This window comes from Homo sapiens, chromosome 19 (genome assembly GCF_000001405.40).
Source record: "Homo sapiens chromosome 19, GRCh38.p14 Primary Assembly".
Lineage (NCBI taxonomy): Eukaryota > Metazoa > Chordata > Mammalia > Primates > Hominidae > Homo > Homo sapiens.
Window position 1 is genome coordinate 47,526,119 of NC_000019.10, and position 21,634 is coordinate 47,547,752.

The window sequence follows — 21,634 nt, forward strand, 5'->3', positions numbered from 1 at the left end:
ATTCACAAAGCATGGATCTGGATAAATGACGTGTCCTGAATCAATAAAGAACTGCTGTAACTCAATAATAAAAACACAGCCGGCTGGGCGCGGTGGCTCACGCCTGTAATCCCAGCACTTTGGGAGGCCAAGGTGGGCAGATCACCTGAGGTTGGGAGTTCGAGACCAGCCTGGTCAACATAGCAAAACCCCGTCCCTACTAAAAATACAAAAATTAGCCAGGCGTGGTAGCAGGCGCCTGTAATCCCAGCTACTCAGGAAGCTAAGGCAGGAGCATCGCTTGAACCTGGGAGGCAGAGGTTGCAGTGAGCATGGATTGCGCCACTGCATTCCAGCCTGGGCAACAGAGTGAGACTCCATCTCAAAAAAAAAAAAAAAAAAAGAAAACACAGACATCTCAATAAAAACATATGCAAGAGATATGAACAGACACCTCACCAAATAAGGCATACAGACAGCAAACAGGCCCATGAAAAGATGCTCAGCATCGTCAGTTGTGAAGGAAACACAATGCGATGCCACCACACTGTCATGAGAATGGCTGGAATTAAAAGGACTGGCCCTACCCAGGGCTAGCGAGTTTGTGGAGCAACTAGAAATCTCTTTTCCTGCCGGTAGGAATGTGAAATGATACAACTACTTTGGAAAATTGTTTGGCGGTTTCTTAAAAAGTTAAGCATACACCTACTAAGTCATTCCATTCCTGGTATTTACTCCTCTAGAAAACAAAGTACATGTCCATACCAAGACTGGTACCTGAATGTTCATAACGAATTTATTTATAGTCATCCCAAACTGGAAACCACTCAAATGTCCACCAACAGGCAAATGATTCTTTAAACCGTGGTACATCCACCCAGTGGAATACTATTCAGCAGTGAAAAGGGGAGACCTATCAATACCTGGAACATGGATGAACTCAAAATCATGATGCTGAGTGTGAGAAAGCTGGACCAAGTAGAGTCCATACTGTGTGACTACTCCATTTATAGCAAACTCTAGGAAATGAAAACGAATTTACAGTGCCCTGGCAGATCAGTGCTGACTGAGGACAGGGGGTGCAATGGGGAGTGATTACTATGTGGCAGGAGGAGATTCAGGGCTGAGGGACATGCTCATTATCTTGACTGTGGTGATGGTTTCCCAGGTATAGTATCAATATGTCAAAACTTAGCAAATCTTATTATACTGCAATTATGTGCAATTTTGTATACATCCAATTTTTTTTTTAGAACAGAAAATAAGCAGCAGGACATTATATGCAGTGAGATCTCATCCTTTGGCTTTTTTCGGGGTGGTGAGAGTCTCATCTTGTCACCCAGGCTGGAGTGCAGTGGTGCAATCTTGGCTCATTGCAGCCTTCACCTCCTATGCTCAAGCAATCCTCCCACCTCAGCCTCCCGAGTAGCTGGGACCACAAGCACGCGGCACCATGCTAGGCTAGTTTTTAACTTTTTTGTAGAGACAAGGTCTCACTATATTGCCCAGGCTGGTCTTGAACTCCTAGCCTCAAGCAATCCTCCCACCTTGGCCTCCCAAAGTGCTAGGATTACAGGCGTGAGCCACTGCGCCTGACCTCATCCTTTTTTTCTTTTTTTGAGACGGAGTTTCACTCTTGTTGTCCAGGCTGGAGTGCAGTGGCGAGATCTTGGCTCACCGCAACCTCCGCTTCCCGGGTTCAAGCGATTCTCCTGTCTCAGCCTCCCGAGTAGCTGGGATTACAGGCATGTGCCACCATGCCCAGCTAATTTTGTATTTTTAGTAGAGACAGGGTTTCTCCATGTTGGTCAGGCTGGTCTCGAACTCCCAACCTCAGGTGATCCACATGCCTCGGCCTCCCAAAGTGCTGGGATTACAGGCATAAACCACCACGCCAGGCCCTTTTTTTTTTTTTTTTTTTGAGACAGAGTCCTGGGCCGGGCGCCGTGGCTCACGCCTGTAATCCCAGCACTTTGGGAGGCTGAGGCAGGTGGATCACCTGAGGTCGGGGGTTCGAGACTAGCCTGACCAACATGGAGAAACCCCATCTCTACTAAAAAATACAAAATTAGCTGGGCATGGTGGCGCATGCCTGTAATCCCAGCTACTCGGAAGGCTGAGGCAGGAGAATCGCTTGAACCCGGGAGGCGGAGGTTGCGGTGAGCCAAGATTGCGCCACTGCACTCCACCCTGAGCAACAAGAGCAAAACTCCGTCTCAAAAAAAAAAAAAAAAAAAAGAGACAGAGTCCTACTCTGTTGCCCAGCCTGGAGTGCAGTGGCACAATCCCCACTCACTGCAACTCTGCCTCCCGGGTTCAAACGATTCTCATGCCTCAGCCTCCTAACTAGTTGGGATTACAGGCACTCACCACCATGCCCGGCTAATTTTTGTATTTTTAGTAGAGACAGGGTTTCACCATGTTGGCCAGGCTGGTCTTGAACTCCTGATCTCAAGTGATCCTCCCGCCTTTGGCCTCCCAAAGTGTTGGGATTACAGGCGTAAGCCACCATGGCCGGCCCTTATCTTTTTTAAAGTACATGCATACCTATATATATAAAATTTGTACAGACAGAAATGCCTGTTGCTTGGTGGAATAGGTAACAGAGGTTGCCAAGCAGAAGTAGGACTGCGGGGAGGGGCATGGAAGACTGTTCTGTGCAGGTGATGCAGGTCTGTACCATCTGGAGCTGTTCATGAGGATAGCTTTTTGACATTGTAAACTGTCTACAGTAAGAGTGCTGCCACAGGCAGGTGAGGGTGGGGCCCTCCGACCCCCGACCAGCCCTGCAGCTCTAGCTTGTCTCAGCTGTGTGAGGCAGGGCCTTGGACACCAGCCCACATTCACTTTACCATCTTGTGTATCAAGTAGAAGTCCTTCTTGTGGGCATAGAACGCCTTCTTAAAAAGCCTCTTCTCTATAGGGGTCCAGACGTCTGAACCTATCAAAGAACACAGCCAACAGGGGGAAGGCCATTTGTCCTGGGACCACAGCCATGGCTGAAATGCAGACCACCTTCCCATTTATAGCTGCCATTACTGAGTACCAATTATGTGCCAATCTCATAAAAAACTCAAAAAGTCTCCAGAAGGGAGGGACCACTACTAGCCCCACTTAACAGATGTGGCAACTGAGGCTTCAGTCGCTTGCTAAAGGCAGGTGGGGGCCCTGGCATCCTGTTTCCAGAGCTGATGGGTTCAACCACTGAACCTAAGCCCATCTTCCCTCCCCCTGGCCATGATCATTCCCCTTCCAGCTGGGCAGAGTCCGTAAGGAAACCACTGGGAAAGGGCGAAGCAGGATCCCACTAGCAGAATGTGGCGCCCACTGAGTCATCCCGACAAGGACAGGCCCTCCTGAAAGGCAGGCAAAGGTCCCGAGGAGAACTCCAGGAGGCAGGGGCAGAGCTTGCAACAGAGCTGGCCGATTCATAGGGGTCTCAGCTGGGCCAAACCAGCTCAGCAGCCTTTCCCCGTCACCTGTGTAGCGATAGTCAGCGAGCAGGTGTGTCCGTGGCTTGTGGGGCCCTCGGAGCAGAAGAGTCTCCAGGGCGACCTGGAACAAGAGGAGCGACAGGCTGCCCAGGACCAGGTGGGGGAAGAGGACCACAGGCATCCTCCCATTCATCTGAAAAACACTTGCGGCTGTCCCTGAAGACACTGCCTGTCCCAGGGCTATTCAAAGTTGCCCTGGATGGGCCACCAGCCTGTGAACTGTCTGTGCGTGCATCAACCGTGTCACCAGGCACACCACTGAATGCAGCTGAAGTTATTTTTTCACAGCAAGCCTATCCTGACGAAGGAGACTGTGTGTGGATTTATTCTGGCACAAGCTCCTTACTCCCTCAGGGACTGGCATTTTGAGGAGTATGACCCTTGCGTAGGGCCCCATTTTTATTTTCTTCATAGCACTAGTCAATAGCTAACAATTGAAAACATTTTATTTTTAAAGATGAGGTCTCACTATGTTGTCCAGGCTGAGCTCCAATTTCTGGGCTCCTTCAGCCTCTGCCTCCCAAGTAGCCAGGAATACAGGTGGGTACCACTGTACCCAGCTAGCTAACAATTTTCTTTGTTTTTTCTTTTTTTTGAGACAGAGTCTTGCTCTGTCACCCAGGCTGGAGTGCAGTGGCATGATCTTGGCTCACTGCAGCCTCCACCTCCCCAGTTCAAGTGATTCTCCTGCCTCAGCCTCCCAACTAGCTGGGACTACAGGTATCTGCCACCACTCCCTGCTAATTTTTTTTTTTTTTTTTTTTGTATTTTTAGTAGAGACGGGATTTTACCATGTTAGCCAGGCTGGTCTCGAACTCACGACCTCAGGTGATCCACCCCCGCCTTGGCCTCCCAAAGTGCTGGGATTACAGGCGTGAGCCATGCGCCTGGCCTAGCTAACAATTTGACTTTCCTAAAATGTAAGCCCCCTGAGGGCAGGGATTTTATCTCAATCACAAGTGTAAGCCATCATTGCAGGGTTTGCATAATTTGTGGGGCCCACTGCAAAATGAAGATGCAGGACTCCTTGTTTAAAAAGTATTAAGAATTTCTTTTCTTTTTTTTTCTTTTTTGAGACGGAGTCTCACTCTGTTGCCCAGGCTGGAGTGCAGTGGTGCGATCTCGGCTCACTGCAACTGCACTCCACCTCCCAGGTTCAAGCAATTCTCCTGCCTCAGCTTCCCAAGTAGCTGGGATTACAGGCGCCCACCACCATGCCTGGCTAATTTTTTTATTTTTAGTAGAGATGGGGTTTTACCATGTTGTCCAGGCTGGTCTCGAACTCCTGAGCTCAGGTGATCCACCCGTCTCGGCCTCCCAAAGTGCTGGGATTACAGGCGTGAGCCACCGCGCCTGGCCAAGAATTTCAAGACAGAGACAGCAGAGCATTAAACCAAGCGTGGAGCCCCTCAGCTGGCCCTGGCCCCAGTGCCTACAGTACAGGCAACCAGCAGGTACCCAATAAATATGTACTGCCACTCTGCTGAGGACCTGCTATATGCCAGACACTGCCTCTCAGGTTGGTGAAAAGCAAGACCATGGCATGACTCTTAGATCCTTAACACAGGCAATGTGGCTCTTCCTCTCCCGCTCCTCACAGTTAGACTTTTAATATACTTTCTAACACCCAGAATTGTGAGCGGGGGGGGGGGGGGGGGTCCTTGGAGTAGGTAGAGGCATTTATGTTGCATCAGAGGTTTGTATATATAAGTTTTCAATTGAAAGCTAAAACTCAAGGAATTAAGTAGATGAATGCAGGGCCTGAGCTGGGTCTTTGGGGCTTCCCTTCTCCAGTGCCCCCTGAGATCTCAGAGGAACCCCTGCGCTTGATTGTTGCCCCAGACAAGTAGCTATGAATTGGGCCCACGTCTTAGCATTCCCCTACAGTCCGTGCACAAGGACCACTGCAATCCCAAAGCCGCTGTGGAGGAGGATGGGCGGCCTTCTTCCAGCTTCCATCCGCTCTGAACCCCCAAGCAGACAGCACGTCACATGCACCTAGAACCCTGGGCCCCAGGAAAGCAGGGAGGGTCCCCTTGCTGTTCCTCACCTGAACGTTGCCCTGAGCCTCGTGCAGGCAGTGCAGAGCGAGCTCCAGGTTGGTGCCCCCTCCTGGCATCACGCTGGAGCATGCCACATTGCAGAGCTCGGTCACTGTTTCCAAGAAGGACATGAGGAAGAGGAGGCACACAGGAGTCATCAGGTGCTAGGGAGGAACCTTTCCCGAAAGACAGCAGAGAGGGGGTGCCTTCCCCTTCTCTCTCCTGCATCTCAGGGAGGGACAAGGAGGAAGAGCAGAACCCTGTCCCCAGCACCCACTCCTGATGGCCTGACCAGCCACCATGTGACAAAAGAGGTAGGGGAGGGAGAGTGCAGCAGGGAAGAAGCAACGCTGGCCAAGAGCCAGCTCCCTCCCACGCCCAGGGGACACTACTTGGATCTAGCGGTCAGGAGTTCCAGACCTAGGAGGAAAAACACCCTGGAAATGGAGGGGGAAGAAGGGCCCTTAGGAATTTAGCCCCAAAGCCTCAGCCACCTCTATCCTGTGTCTCTGAGCTGATCATCATATCTCCCCATGGCTTCCAGACCAGAGAAGCTACATGCTCGTCAGTTCCAGCCAGGGATCTCTCCTGGAGTTCCGGGATCTCTGCCTGAAACCGGCTTCCTATATTGATATGTCTGAAATGAGGCCACACACAGATAAGGGAGACGTACAAACATGACTGAGATGGGAAGTGAAATGGAGACGCTCTGTATGCCCTGCTCTTGGGCCACAGCCTGCTCCATGGAAACCCTCTGCTGTCTCAGGTGCATCAGGTACGTGCTGTTCCCGACAGATGCACACAGACATTTCAGAAACTTCTGCAGGGACACTTCCTCCCTTCCTCTGTTTTCCTTCATTGCCACATTTCTCTCTCAGGGTCAAGGCAGGGGAGGTACAAGCTGACACCCGGCATGTGTCTACGTCCACACCACAGCCATCCAGCCACATCCCTCAGGCATGCTTGAGTCCCACTCTGTGCCATCACCAATTCTACCTGGAACCCCAAGGTCCAGGGCATTCTGTCCCCATGTGCCACATATATATTTCTAGAAGGAATAATTTGGGGGGATTTTCATATATATATATATATTTGTAGAAGGAATAATATTGGGGGATCTTCCTACATATATTTGGAAAAATCTACCGCTTCACGCCTAGGGAGCCTATGTGAGTAAACCTGAACCCCACCATGGGAAGAAGGAACCCTTGGGAAAAGTGACACTAGAACTCAAGGTGGGGTAAAAGCAGCTTCACTGGAAAGGACCCAACTTACGGCTCAATGCTGATTTTGGTGTCATCCTTCACCACACAGATGCCAAAGGACCCATCCACTTGATCTAGAAAGCACAGAGTGAAAAGGCTCAAGAAGACAGACAGCAGGTAACCGACAGGGTCCTCTGCCTGCCTGTGTGGACGCAGCTGAAAGCAGGGTCTTTAAGATCCCATGGGTTGGCCGGGCACAGTGGTTCACGCCTGTAATCCCAGCACTTTGGGAGGCTGAGGTGGGAGGATCACGAGGTCAGGAGATCAAGACCATCCTGGCTAACACACAGTGAAACCCTGTTCCTACTTAAAATACAAAAAAAAGTAGCCGGGCGTGGTAGTGGGTGCCTGTAGTCCCAGCTGAGACAGAAGAATGGCGTGAACCCAGGAGGCGGAGCTTGCGGTGAGCCGAGATCGCGCCACTGCACTCCAGCCTGGGCGACAGAGCGAGACTCCATCTCAAAAAAAAAAAAAAAAAAAAAAAAAAAAAAAAAAAAATCCCATGGGAAAGGGCAGCACTTCAGAAAAGGTAGAGGAAGGAACTCTAACAAATTAACTCATGACAAGTATACGTATATATAAAAACAGCACACTAAAGTCTCTGGAAATTGTCCTAAGGTCATTCAGCACTTGGAGAAATATTCATTAAAAAAAATCAACTAGGCCGGGTGGGGTGGCTCACGCCTGTAATCCCAGCACTTTGGGACACTGAGGTGGGCGGATCACTTGAGGTCAGGAGTTCAAGACCAGCCTGGCCAACATGGCAAAACCCCATCTCTACTGAAAATACAAAAATTGGCTGGGCGTGGTGGAATGTGCCTGTAATCCCAGCTACTTGGGAGGCTGAGGCAGGAATCACTTGAACCTGGGAGGCAGAGTGAGCCGAGACTGTGCCACTGTGCTCCAGCCTGGGCAACAGAGTGAGATTCCATCTCAAAAAAATAAAAAATAAAAAATAATCAACTGAATATTGGTAAGAACAAGAGGCTGTTGCATCTGAGCTGTGACCTGCTCCCTTACCCAGCCAGCTCCCAGCTCCAAGGGTTCTATTCCAGGTAGGTGCAGCCCAGACAGGGGCTGCCTCTCCTGTCAGCTCCCATGCTTAAAGAATTAAAGGAAGGTATAATGACAATTTCTCATCATAGACAGAATATCATTAAGAGGTAGAAATTATTAAAAAGAGAGAACCAAATGGGAATTCTGGGGTTAGAAAGTAAAATATTGGCAAGTGAAGCTGTTGAGGAAAATAATAAAATAACCAAAATGGGGCTCAATAGGTTTGAGTTGACAGGAAGAAAATAATCTGTAAACTTGAAGACAGATCAGTAGAGACTATGGAATCCGAAGAACAAAGAGAAAAATAAAGAGAGCCTCAGAGAAATGTGGGATACCATTAAGTACAGCAGCTACATGTAACAGGAGTACCAGATGGAAAGGAGAAAGAGACAGAAAGAAATATCTAAAGAAAAAGGCCTGATGCAGTGGCTCACGCCTGTAATCCCAGCACTTTGGGAGGCCGAGGCGGGCGGATCACCTGAAGTCAGGAGTTCAAGACCAGCCTGGCTAACATAACAAAACCCCGTCTCTACTAAAAATACAAAAATTAGCCTGGTGTGGTGGTGTACCCCTGTAATCCCAGCTACTCGGGAGGCTGAAGTGGGAGGCTAACTTGGGAGTTAGAGGCTGCAGTGAGCCGAGATCATGCCACTGCACTCCAGCTGGGGTGACACAGCAAGACTCTGTCTCAAAAAAAAACCCCTCCAAACCACCCCCCCAAAACAAAAAAACAAAAGTTAAAAGCTACAGTAATCAAAACAGTGTGATACTGGCATAAGGATAAGTATACAGATCAATAGAATTGAACACCCAGAAATACACCCACACGTTTATGGTCAATTGATTTCTAACAATGAATTGTGCTGAGTCAATTCAATGGGAAGTCTTCAAAAAATGCTGCTGGAAGAACTGCATATACACATGCAAAAAAATGAATTTGGACCTTTACCTCATGTAATATATAAAAGTTATCTTCAAATTGATTACAGACCTAACCTAAGAGTCAAAATTACAAAGCTCTTTTTTTTTTTTTTCTGTTGCCCAGGCTGGAGTGCAGTGGTGCCATCCTGGCTCACTGCAACCTCCGCCTCCTGGGTTCAAGCGATTCTCTGTCTCAGCCTCCTGAGTAGCTGGGATTACAGTGCCTGCCACCACACCCGGCTAATTCTTTTGTATTTTTAGTAGAGACGGGATTTCACCATGTTGGCCAGGCTGGTCTTGAGCTCCTGACCTCGTGATCCGCCTGCCTCGGCTTCCCAAAGTGCTGGCATTACAGGCGTGAGCCACCGCACCTGGACCAAAATTACAAAACTCTTACAGGGAAACAAGAGTGACTCTGCATGACTTGGGTCAGGCAAATCTTCACATATAACACCACAAGAACAAGTAACAAAAGAAAGGAAATTGGGCTTCATGAAAATTAGAAATGTTTGTCCTGCAAAAGGACCACTTTACACCTACTAGGATGGTTATACTTAAAAAGATAGACAATAACAAGTGTTGACAAGAAGGAGGAGAAATGAAAATGTTCATATACTGCTACTGGAAATTTAAAGTGGCCCAGCCATTTTGGAAAACAATCCGGCAGTTTGTAAACAGTTAAATATGGAGTTACCATATGACCCAGCACTACACTCCTAGTTATCTACCCAAGAGAGCTGAGAACATAAATCCACACAAAAACCTGTACATAAGGCTGGGTGTGGTGGCTCAGGCCTCTAATCCCAGCACTTTGGAAGGCCAATGCAGGAGGACTGTTTCACCCCAGAGTTGTTTTTTTTTTTTTGAGACCAAATTTAGCTCTTTCGCCCAGGCTAAAGTGAAATGGCATGGTCTCGGCTTACTGCAACCTCCGCTGCCGAGACCAGCTCGGTCGGGGAGACCCTAACCCAGCGGCGCTAGAGGAATTAAAGACACACACAGAAATATAGAGGAGTGGAGTGGGAAATCAGGGGTCTCACAGCTTTCAGAGCTAAGAGCCCTGAACAGAGATTTACCCACATATTTATTGACAGCAAGCCAGTGATAAGCATTGTTTCTATAGATTATAGATCAATTAAAAGTATTCCTTACAGGAAACAAAGGGATGGGCCAAAATATAGGGATATGTCTGGCTAGTTATCTGCAGCAGGTGCATGTCCTTAAGGCACAGATCGCTCATGCTATTGTTTGTGGTTTAAGAACGCCTTTAAGCAGTTTTCTGCCCTGGGTCGGCCAGGTGTTCCTTGCCCTCATTCCGGTAAATCCACAACCTTCCAGCGTGGGTGTCATGGCCATTATGAACATGTCACAGTGCTGCAGAGATTTTGTTTATGGCCAGTTTTGGGGCCAGTTTATGGCCAGATTTTGGGGGGCCTGTTCCCAACACTGCACCCTCAGTTCAAGCGATTCTCCTGCCTCAGCCTCCTGAGTGGCCAGGATTATAGGCACCCGCCACCATGCTCGTCTAATTTTTATATTTTTAGTAGAGACGAGGTTTTGCCATGTTGGCCAGCCTGGTCTTGAACTCCTGACCTTAGGTGATCCACCCGCCCCAGCCTCCCAAAGTGCTAGGATTACAGGCATGAGCCACCATGCCTGGCCCACCTCAGAGTTTGAGACCAGTCTGGGCAACATGGCAAGACCCCCCTCCCTACATAAAAACAATTACAAAAAATTAGCCAGGCATGGGGGTGCATGCCTGTAGGCCCAGCTACTCTGGGCCGAAGCAGAAGGATCAGTTGAGCCCAGGAGGTTGAAGCTGCAGTGAGCTGTGATCATACAACTGCACTCCAGCCTGGGTGACAAGAGTGAGACCTTGTCTCCCAAAAAAACCCCAAAAATTTCTATATGAATGTTTATGGCAGCATTATTCATAATAGCCCAAAGTGGAAACAACCCAAATGTCCATCAACTGATAAATAAACAAAATGGGGCCCATCTGTACAAGGGAAAAATGTTCGGCCATAAAAAGGAATTGAGCACTGATATGCACTACAATATGAAGGGACTCTGAAAACATGCCAAGTGAAATAAACTAGACACAAAAGGCTGCATATTGTATGATTCTACTTACATGAAATGTCCTGAATAGGCAAATCCAAAGAGAGAAGGCAGATGAGTGGGTGCCCAGGCTGGGGGAAGAAGGGACTGTGGGGATATGGGCGGAGTCACTGCTAATGAGCTCTGGCTTCTTCTGGGGATGCTAAGCGTGCTCTAAAATTAAGACTATGTGATAGTTGCACGGCCTTGTGAATATCCTAAAAATCACTGCATACTCTAAATGGGTGATTTGCATGGTATGTGAAGTACAGCTCAATAAATCTGTTAGGAAAATTACATAGGCCAGGCCAGGCACAGTGGCTCACACCTGTAATCCCAGCACTTTGGGAGGCTGAGGAGGGTGGATCACTGGAAGTCAGGAGCTCGAGACCAGCCTGGCCAACATGGTGAAATCCCATCTCTACTAAAAATACAAAAATTAGCCAGGCATGATGGCGCACGCCTGTAGTCCCAGCTACTTGGGAGGCTGAGGCAGGAGAACTGCTTGAACTTGGGAGTTGGAGGTTTCAGTCAGCCAAGATCACGCCACTGCACTCTGGCCTGGGTGATAGAGTGATACTCTGTCTCAAAAAAAAAAAAAAAAAAAAGGAAATGACACAGACTGGACAGGGTGGCTCACACATTTAATGCCAGTACTTTGGGAGGTCAAGGCAGCAAAATCACAAGTCCAGGAGCTCGAGACCAGCCTGGACAACATAGCAAGACCCCATCTCTAAGAAAAATAAAAAATTAGCCAGGTGTGGTGATGCGCACCTGTAGTCCCAACTATTTGGGAGTCTGAGGCTGGAGGATCTCTTGAGACCAGGAGATCGAGGCTGCAGTGAGCTGTGATCAAGCCACTGCACTCCAGCCTGGGTGACAGAGCAAGACCCTGCCTCAAAAAAGAAAAAGAAAATGACACAGAAGGGCAGGCAGAAGCATGGTCAGGCTAAATGGCCTCTACGTTTTCTTTCGGGCTGTAAAATTCTATGCACTAGAAGGCACTTAGATCAGTCCTGGGGCACATCTGAATAGCAAAGGAACCCTCAGACTAGGTACACCCAGGCAGGAGACAATCACTGAACCCAATGCTACAAGGTAGAGTGGCTGTGGTCCGCAGGCAATCCACCCTGGGATCACAGAGTGAGTGCCCCAGCCTCACTCACCGAGCATGGAGCTGATGAGCTGGTCAGGGCTGGCCTGAGTGGACGTGGAACAGAGGGTGTTGAAGTACACCCCAGAGCCCTCCCGGATGGGGCTGAGCATTGGGGGTGGTGTGTAGGGGGAGCACTGGAATAAGCCCTTCAGGAGGCAGTCCACCAGGAACATGGGTGACCGCAGGCGGCTCTGGTGGCATCCTGCAGGGCCAGGCTCCCCAGCCGTGGAGGGTGGGGGCCGCTTCTTCCGCTTTCTCTGCTGGCTGCTCTCCTTGCTGTCTCGCTCCTCCCCGTCTTTCTCTTGTCCCTGAAGAAGTTTAGAACCACAGGTGGTCGCCTGAAGCCACCTACTGCACCACTCCATCTCCAGGATGGAAAGAGAGCAGGAAAAGGAGACCGGCCAGAGACAGGAAACTAGGAAATGCACGCCCGGCAAAGGAGGCTGGCCACACCTGAGCCAGACCTGACGTACTGAGCCTGGCGATGATCCGGCTGCAGCCTTCTCCTGCACCCACTGCCCCAGCAGAGCCCCTGACTCTGTGTAAGAATAGCCTCAATCATTAAGATGACTGGCCCTTAAAAAGAGAGAGATCCCCAGAGATACAGTGTGACGGTGAAGAAAGAAATGCTGCTCCACCCAAATGACAAGCACCGAAATGACCCAGCCACTGACTCAGGGGACCTTCAGGTCCACGGACTGTGTCCCCGAGTCCAGCAGGAGCTTCTTCAGTAGGGGGTCCTCCAGTACAGGCTGCAGAGACAAGCCCTACGAGACTGATCACTCGTAACTCACCATGCTCTCTCTCACTTCCACAAAATCTCCTCTCCGCTCTGCCAGCCCTACTCCTCCTCATCCTCTAGGTCTCAGATCCCATACCTCCTCCTCCAGGAAGCCCTCCCTTACCTCCTCAGGCTGGGTCAGGAGCCCCCTGGGAACTCTCTGGGCTCCCTCTGCTCCCAGCTCTGCCCACTCTGGGTTGTCACTGTCTGGGGACAGGCCTGTCTCCTCCACTGGACTAGGAGCCCTGGGAGGCAGGGCCCAGGCTATTGTGGTCACCTCTGTGTCCCCAGCACCACCCAGCACAGGGCCTGGCACAGAGGGGCTCAGTGAATGCTGAATGACTGAATTAACATGCAAACCAGGTTCTTCTGGATCAAGATTTTCTTTTTTTTTTTTTTTTTTTTGAGACAGAGTCTCACTCTGTTACCCAGGCTAGAGTGCAGTGTTGTGATCTCAGCTCACTGCAACCTCTCCTTCCTGGGTTCAAGTGATTCTCGGGCCTCAGCCTCCCGAGTAGCTGGGTTTACAGGTGCCTGCCACCATGCCCAGCTAATTTTTTTGTATTTTTAGTAGACACAGGGTTTCACCATGTTGCCCAGGCTGGTCTCGAATACCTGAGCTCAGGCAATCCACCCGCCTCAGCCTCCCAAAGTGCTGGGATTACAGGCATGAGCCACCACATCCAGCCTGGAGTCAAAGATTTTCTGTGGTATCTGGTTTGGGTTTTTCCTACGGCTTCCCCCAGCAGCTGCGGGCAGTGGCAGGAAGGAGGCAGGCCGACAAGCACCCACCATGGCCATGCTCCCTATGTGTCGGGTCACTGGAACCACGGGGATCGATTGGGGGACCACCAAAGGGGCTGCAGCTGTGGGGTCCAAGGGCTTCTTGGTTCCTGGGGGACTATGCCTGTCCCCTTCTGGCCTCAGCACCTGTCTTAGCGGCTTGCAAAACTCTGTGCCAAACACCTAAACACAGAAGAGAAGAGATGGCTCTTTAAGAGATAAGGTAGGTGGGGAAAGGAAGAGCTGCTTCAGCAAAAAAAGCTGTCATAGAAAACAGCAGTGAGTCTGTGGCATGGACCAAGCTGGAGAGCTGCTGCAGCCCATGGCAATGGCCTGCCCCTGGAGAGCCACACAGCCTGACTCCAGCCCCCGACCCAGAGTGACGTCCCCATCCTGAGATAAGTGACACCAATCTCGTTTACTCCCCACAGGCCTGCCAGAAACCCAGTAACCACCAAGCCACTGGTCGTCCCCCTTCACCTGCGGTTCCTGCTTCCCTCGAGGTGACGGCCACTGGTCGCTGTGAAAACACATGTGGCTGCTCAGCCCTTTCTCCGTATAAAACATCTGGCTGCAGTTCTTGCAGACAAAAGTGCTCCTGGGCTTCGTCCAGTCTGTGGGACTGCCGTTTTGCTGGTTACTGTGGGACATGGCAGGAAAGAAGAGTGGGAGATTAGGACTCTGTCCTTGATCACTGATTTTTTGTTGTTTTTTTTTCTTTTTTGTCTATAACTCCAATCCACTGACTTTTTTTTTTTTTTGGAGATGGAGTCTCACTCTGTTGCCCAGACTGGAGTGCGGTGGCACCATCTCGGCTCACTGTAACCTCCACCTCCTGGGTTCAAGTGATTTTCGTGCCTCAGCCTCCCAAGTAGCTAAGATTACAGGTGTGTGCCAATATACGTGGCTAATTTTTATATTTCTAGTAGAGACAGAGTTTCACCATGTTGGCCAGGCTGGTCTCGAATTCCTGACCTCAAATGATCCCCCTGCCTCAGCCTCCTGAAGTGCTGGGATTACAGGCGTGAGCCACCGCGTCCAGCCTGACTACTCTTGATAAACCCTATAAAATGGAGGCTGTACCCTAATCCCATTAGGACTGAAAGCATCCTCCCCACTCACTTGTCCAGGGCCGGCACAGGAAGGCCAGAGGACTCCTGCCAGGGTGCATGCAGGATCGGGGGCTTCTTAACTTACCCTCTGCCTGCCACATTCTCTTCCTTCACCGGATGGGGGAGCCTGTAGATGTTTCCACCCTGAAGATGAAAATGCATCTGAACCAACACATCCAAAATGAAGAGGCAAGAAGAGCTCAAATTACAGACTTTTAGAAGAAAACATCAGAGTAAATCTTCATGACCTTGGATTAGACAGTGGTTTCTTAGATAAGACACCAAAGCAAAACAGACAAATTAGACTTCATCAAAATGTAAAACTTTTAGCCAGGCGTGGTGGCTCATGCCTGTGATCCCAGGACTTTGGGAGGCCGAGGTGGGAGGATTGCTTCAGCCCAGGAGTTTGAGACCAGCCTGGGCAACATGGCAAAACCCCATCTCTACAAAAAATACAAAAATTGGCCTGGCATACTGGCATGGGCCTGAGGTCCCAGCGACTCAGGAGGCTGAGGTGGGAGAATCACTTGAGCCAGGAGTTCAAGGTTGCAGTGAGCCATGATCGTACAACTTCACTCCAGCCTGAGTGACAGTGAGACCCTGTCTCAAAAAAAAATAAAAAATAAAAAATAAAAACTTTTGTCCTGCAAATGGTATCATAAATAAAGTGAAAAGACAGACCACAAAATGAAAGAATATTTGCAAGTCATGTGTCAGATAAGGGTCTTGCATCCAGAATATATAGAGAACTCAAAAAATAGTAATCTGATTTTAAAAAATAAGCAAAGGACCTGAACAGACATTTCTTCTAGAAAGATACACAGATGGCCAATAAGAACACAGAAAGGTGTTCAACGTCAGCAGCCACGGGGAAATACAAATCAAAACCACAATGAGATACTGCTTCACACCCGCCAGGGTAGTTATAATTTAAACAAACCACGGACAATAACAAGTGTTAGTGAGGACATGGAGAATGTGGAGCCCTCATACACTGTGGGTGGGAAGAGGAAACAAGCAAAACAGCCTAGTAGTTCCTCAGACCTAAAACAGAACTGCTGTACGACCTGGCGATTCTACTCCTAGAACATAAATCCCCATAAAAATTTGTACATGGGTGAATATTCACAGCAGCACCATATTCAAAATAGCCAAAAAGTGGAAACAACCCAAATGTCCATCCACTGATGAACAGACAAATAAAACGCGGCCTTATCCATCCAACAGAGGATCACTCAGTCATGGAAAGGAATGCAGCTCTGCCGTTTGCCACCCCACGGATGAGCCTGGAAAACGTCATGCTGAGTGAAGGAAGCCAGATACGAATGCCACAGAGTGCATGATTCCACTCATATGCAATGTCCAGAACAGACACATCCACAGAGACAGAAAGGAGACTCGTGGCTGCCAGGCCCTGGGGGGAGGGCGAGATTGTGGGTGACAACTAAGAAATGTGGGGTTCCTTTTGGGGAGATGAAACTGTTCTGGCAAAGAGTGGGGATGGTTGCACGATCTTGTGAATATACTACAAATTACCCAACGCTACACTTTAAAATGGTGTATTCAGGCCAGGCACCATGACTCATGCCTGTAATCTCAGCACTTTGGGAGGCCGAGGCAAGCACATCACCTGAGGTCAGGAAAGACCAGCCTGGCCAACACAGTGACACCCTGGCTCTACTAAAAATACAAAAATTAGCTGGGCATGGTGATGTGTGCCTGTAATCCCAGCTACTTGGAAGGCCCAGGCAGGAGAATTGCTTGAACTTGGGAGGCAGAGGCTGCAGTAAGCCAAGATTGCACCACTATACTCCAGCCTGGGCAACAGAGTGAGAGACTCCGTCTCAAAAATAAATTTGGCCAGGCACAGTGGCTCACACCTGCAATCTCAGCACTTTGGGAGGCTGAGGCGGGTGGATCACGAGGTCAGGAGTTCAAGACCAGCCTGGCCAAGATGGTGAAACCTCGTCTCTACTAAACACACAAAAATTAGCCAGATGTGGTGGCGCATGCCTGTAATCCCAGCTACTCGGAGGCTGAGGCAGAGAACTGCTTGAACCCAGGAGGCGGAGGTTGCAATGAGCTGAGATAGCACCACTGCATTCCAGCCTGGGCGACAGAGTGAGACTCCATCATAAATAAATAAATAAAATAAATTTAAAAAATAAAATAAAGTGGTGGATTTGGCTGGGCATGGTGGCTCATGCCTGTAATCCCAACACTTTAGGAGGCCGAGATGAGAGGATTGCTTGAGCCCAGGGGTTCAAGACCAGGCTGGGCAACATAGCGAGACCCCCTCCATCTCTAAAAAATATATAAAAAATAAAATGGTGCATTATTTGGCACCTGAATAATAAAGATGTTAACAAAACAAAAATGAGGTAGCTGTGGTATGATGGGAAGCTACTCATCCTCCTGAGTAGCTGGGACCACAGGCGTGCACCACCATGCCCAACTAATTTTTTTTAAATTTTGGTAGAGACAGGGTTTCGCCATGTTGCCCAGGTTGGACATGGAGTCAGGAGACCTGGATGAGCTCTTTGGACCAGGCCCTCCAAACACAACATCTGGAGGAACCAGTGAATAATTATCAATGTGCTTAAGTGTGGGGCACGATGCAGGTGCCCACTTGTGCTTGTGGAAACCAAGACTCACAATCAGAAAACACATGGCCATTTCAAGCAGGAATCTTTAAAGGAAAGAGAGCATCTACCTTCATATCCTCTGAAGATTCTAAAAAGGCAAATCCAAAGGGAAACAAGAGAAAAAAAAAAGCAAAAAAGGCTTTGTGAGATAACAGTGTTTTGAACAACTCTGGGATATCCTCATGTTGATCTTTTTTTTTTTTTTTAAGACAGGGTCTTGCTCTGTTGCCCAGGCTGGAGTGCAGAGACACAATCTCAGCTCACTGAAACCTCCATCTTCCAGGTTCAAGCGATTCTCCCCCACCTCAGCCTCTCGAGTAGCTGGGACCACAGGCGTGTGCCACCACGCCCAGCTACTTTTTTAAAATTTTGGTAGAGACTGGGTTTCGCCATGTTGCCTAGGCTGATCTCGAACTCCTGAGCTCAAGCAGTCTCCCCACTTCAGCCTCCCATCCCAAAGGGCTGGGATTACAGGCATAAGCCACCTCACCTGGCCTCATTCTGGTCTTTTTTTTTTTAGTGGGGAAAACCACAATCTTTCGGAACCTTAATTCCTTCCTCTGTAAAATTGCATCTGGGGACTCTCTGAAATGAAATAAAATGCCTGGACAACTAACAAATGCAAAGGAAACTCACTCCACTCTGGTCAGGCCACGTGAGAGAGAGCTGGTACCTGGATTCTGCTGAATATTGTCAGCTTGGACTTGGAGGGATCTGCCGGGGGCCCGGCCGATGAGAAGGAGGCCATGGCTACCTGGCTCGGAGAAGCCGCACAGCACATATCCATCTTCGCCTTCTCTTTCCGGAAGCCGGAGAATCGCGGGGCCCTGGGGTTGCCCAAGAGCCGGTAGCCTCCACCCCGGGAGCAGGCTGGGCCCTTTTCACCTTTTGTGATCCTTGAAGCCGCGCCATTCTCGGCTGGGGCCTGCTTCCCTGGCAGCGAGGCTCCTGGTGGCTCCTCCCCACCTAACTGGGTCTGCCGTTGGCCTGTGGAGGGGAAGATGTCCTCCAGGTCCAAGGTCCCTTTAGAGGATCGCAGCTGCTTGGCCAGAGAAGAGATGTCTGGATTCCTGGAAGGGTCCAGAGACGGTGCTGCAAGGGGCGTTGGAACCGCGGCCACTTTCAGTCCCCCCTTTGCGTCTCGTCTCGTGCTGCCGGGGGAGGCCTCTCTGGGAACCCCGGGTGTGGTTTTTCTCCTGCGGGCTGGGGAGCCCTCTGCCTCGGGGTTTCCAGGGCCGGCGTGGAGAGAGTCCACAGCAGGAGCCAGTGGTGGGGGCTGCTGCGGCCACGGCCCCTGCAGCGGCCTCAGGGCGGCTGGTTTGCCCTCGGGCGCAGGGAGCTGGGAGGAGACTGCTGCCACCTGGGCATGGGAGAAGATCCGCTGGGACTTGGTGATCATCTGGAACACCTGCATCTGCTCGTGGCTCACAAGAGGTTCCTGCGACTTGAGGAAGAGCTGGCGGAAGAGCGGCGAGGCATCCGCAGGGAGCCCGCCTGCCTTCTGGGCCTCCTGGAGGCCGGGCTCCCCGGGGTTCTGGCACAGGAAGGAGTCGCAGTCGACCTTGACCTTCTTGGGGGCGCAGGGGTCATCTTCCCCGCTGGCCGACCTGGGGTCGCTCGGGGCCTCCGCGGGGACCCTGAGGAGCGCGGCAGGGAAGGGCAGAGCATCCTCCAGGCCACCGCCGGGGCCGGGCGGGGACTCCTCCGAGGGGCTTCCGCTGCTGGGTCCCGGGCCAGACTCGGAGCCCTCCCGCGAGGGCACGGCCGAGGGCTTGTGGACAACAAACACGTTGTTGCCTTTGCTTTTGGGACAGCCCGGCAGGTTCCGGAGCCACTGGAAGCTGTGGCTCGATGGCTGGGAACTGGCAGGGACCGTCTGGCCTCGGAAGAGAGGCAGGCAGGCAGGCACGGAGCCGCCTTCGGGCCAGCACTCCGCGGTGGACCGGGCCTGGAGCAGCGCGGTATCTGGCTCCGGCTCTGGCGGGTCGGGGGCGCCGTTCTCGGCGGCCCTGGAATTAGGGGCTGTGAACACGTCAGTGGCCGGCTCTTTCTGTGGGAGGCAAGGCTCCTCGGGAAGCTCGGTGTCCAGCGCTGCTGGGGCCGCGTGGGGGCCGGCTGGGGTGCAGGACGAGGACCCCGATGAGGCGGGGCAGGGACAGGCAGTGTTCCTCCCTTCGCTGTCTGAAGCCCCCGCCGGGGCTGGGCCAGGAGAAGGGGTCTTCTGGTGGACGATGCTACTCACGATGCGGCGCAGGAGGTCCCGGTGGGGCAGGAGGGAGCCGGGGGACCTGGCCTCTGGGGGCACCAGGGACCGCAGGCTGCTGGGGGGCGGCTGGCCGGCCGACTCGTGGGCGTGGGGGGAGTCCCCGCAGGCCTCTTCCTCCGGGGGGGCTTCCTTCAGGATGCACAGGCCGTGATGGACCTCGTAGTGCCGGCGCAGAGAGCGGTAGTCGCAGTAGCTCTTGCTGCAGCCCTGCTCGATGCACACGAAGGGCTTTGTCTTCTGGTGGGTGAGCATGTGCCCGGTCCTGGAGCCAGACACAAGCAGGGGCGTCACCGGGGCACCTGGGACCGGGCTTTCTGCTGTAGGACCCTGGTGGCCCCCAAAAGTCTGTGGTACAGTTGCACCACAATTCAGAAATTGTACTCAGCCCCCACGAGGAAAGACCACCCAGCAAACCCTGCTTCGGTCAAAGCCATCTGGCAGGGGAGTTCCTCTCCCCTCACCTTTAAGCAAACCCCTTACAGAAAAGTAAAAAAAAAAAAAAAAACCAGCGGGGCACAGTGGCTCATGCCTGTAATCCCAGCACTTTGGGAGGCCGAGGTGAGTGGATCACTTGAGGTCAGGAGTTTGAGACCAGCCTGGCCAACATGGTAAAACCCGTCTCTACTAAAAATACAAAAAATTTAGCTGGGTGTAGTGGCACATGCCAGTAATCCCAGCTACTGGGGAAGCTGAGGCAAGAGAATCACTTGTACCCAGGAGATGAAGTGCATTGCAGTGAGCCGAGATCACACCACTGCACTCCAGCCTGGGTGACAGAGTGAGACTCTATCTCAATAAACAAACAAACAAATAAATAAAATTTTAAAAAATACAAAAAAAAAAATCCACTGAGGCCAGATCAGATTTCCCCAGAGTGGGTTCCCAAGGAACACAAAGACCTCCAGAGTTGCTCCTCAAGGACTTTGGCACAGCTAATAAATAAGTTTTGAAAAAACACCATTCACTCCTTGGAGGTTCACGATGCACAGTAGCAAATTTAATTAATTAATTTTTTGTTTTTGAGACGGAGTCTTGCTCTGTCACCCAGGCTGGAGTGCAATGGCACGATCTCGGCTCACTGCAACTCTGCCCCCCAGGTTCAAGCGATTCTTGTGCCTCAGCCTCCAAGTAGCTGGGACTACAGGTGCGTGCCACCACGCCCAGCTAATTTTTGTATTTTTAGTAGAGACGGGGTTTTGCCTTGTTGGCCAAGCTGGTCTCGAACTCCTGACCCTCAAGTGATCTGCCTGCCTTGGCCTCCCAAAGTGCTGAGATTACAGGCGTGAGCCACTGTAGCCGGCACACAGTAGCAAATGTAAAAGCCACACAGAGAGAGACCTGTTTAACTTTCAGTGTCTCTCAAACTTATTTGCCCAGAGAACTGTTTTTGGTTTTGTTTTCAAAAAGCCCCTATTAGCATTCCTGAGAACCAGAATTCTGCAGAATAGACTGGAGGAGATGCTAACTTGGGGACGATCCTTCCTTTAACAAAGGAATCTGTGCCTTACCGTAGGAGACCCCTAAGAAGATGCTACCTGGAACCCCCCACAGCAAAGAAGCCAATTTACAGAGGCCCAATCCATAGAAACATTATAGAGCCAAACAGCCAAATGTGCCTATAGTTTCTGCAAACAGAAATGCATGTAAATATGTATTGCATCACACCTACCTCTGCATTAACACATTATAAATATAAGCAGAGGAGTACATCACCCTCTGGGCCCCCAACAGCCCTGCTCTGGACAGTCCTAGTCGATGTGGACTAAATCATAAAGTCTTTCCCCAAAGGCTCACCCTCAGCCTCTGTCTGAGGGAAGCAACAGAGAGGGAATCAGGAGACCTAAGTTCTACCCCCAGCTATTACCAACTTGTGACATGAGCAAATTGGCTCCTTTTCCTGGGGTAGGTGTGGGTGAGAGGATAAGATGAAAGATGGATTAGTCAAAGCCCCTTGTGAAAGGGAGGAGCCCCATAAGAATGCTAAGTACTTTCATCTCCCACTTGCAGGTCTCCTGGTTTGAAAAACATGTGTCT

General features: G+C 50.7%; 1 protein-coding gene across 16 annotated transcripts in view; it reads right to left on the minus strand.

Annotated features, from left to right (window-relative positions):
- The window catches only part of ZNF541 (zinc finger protein 541), a 52,620-nt gene that overhangs the window by 5,429 nt on the left and 25,557 nt on the right, over positions 1-21,634 (minus strand). For 9 of the 16 annotated variants that reach the window (XM_047439506.1, XM_011527369.3, NM_001277075.3 and 6 more), the window contains 10 exons: positions 18,008-19,862; positions 14,775-14,833; positions 14,058-14,217; positions 13,587-13,760; positions 12,024-12,321; positions 6,791-6,854; positions 6,010-6,152; positions 5,524-5,627; positions 3,459-3,534; positions 2,832-2,920 (listed from right to left, as the gene is read on the minus strand). In XM_047439506.1, the coding sequence (XP_047295462.1) occupies positions 2,832-2,920; positions 3,459-3,534; positions 5,524-5,627; positions 6,010-6,152; positions 6,791-6,854; positions 12,024-12,321; positions 13,587-13,760; positions 14,058-14,217; positions 14,775-14,833; positions 18,008-19,862 (3,022 nt within the window). Of the gene's footprint in view, positions 1-2,831; positions 2,921-3,458; positions 3,535-5,523; positions 5,628-6,009; positions 6,153-6,790; positions 6,855-12,023; positions 12,322-13,586; positions 13,761-14,057; positions 14,218-14,774; positions 14,834-17,970; positions 19,863-21,634 lie in introns of those variants that run through there. The other 7 variants (XM_011527373.4, XM_011527372.4, XM_005259314.5 and 4 more) reach the window with 7 other exon arrangements.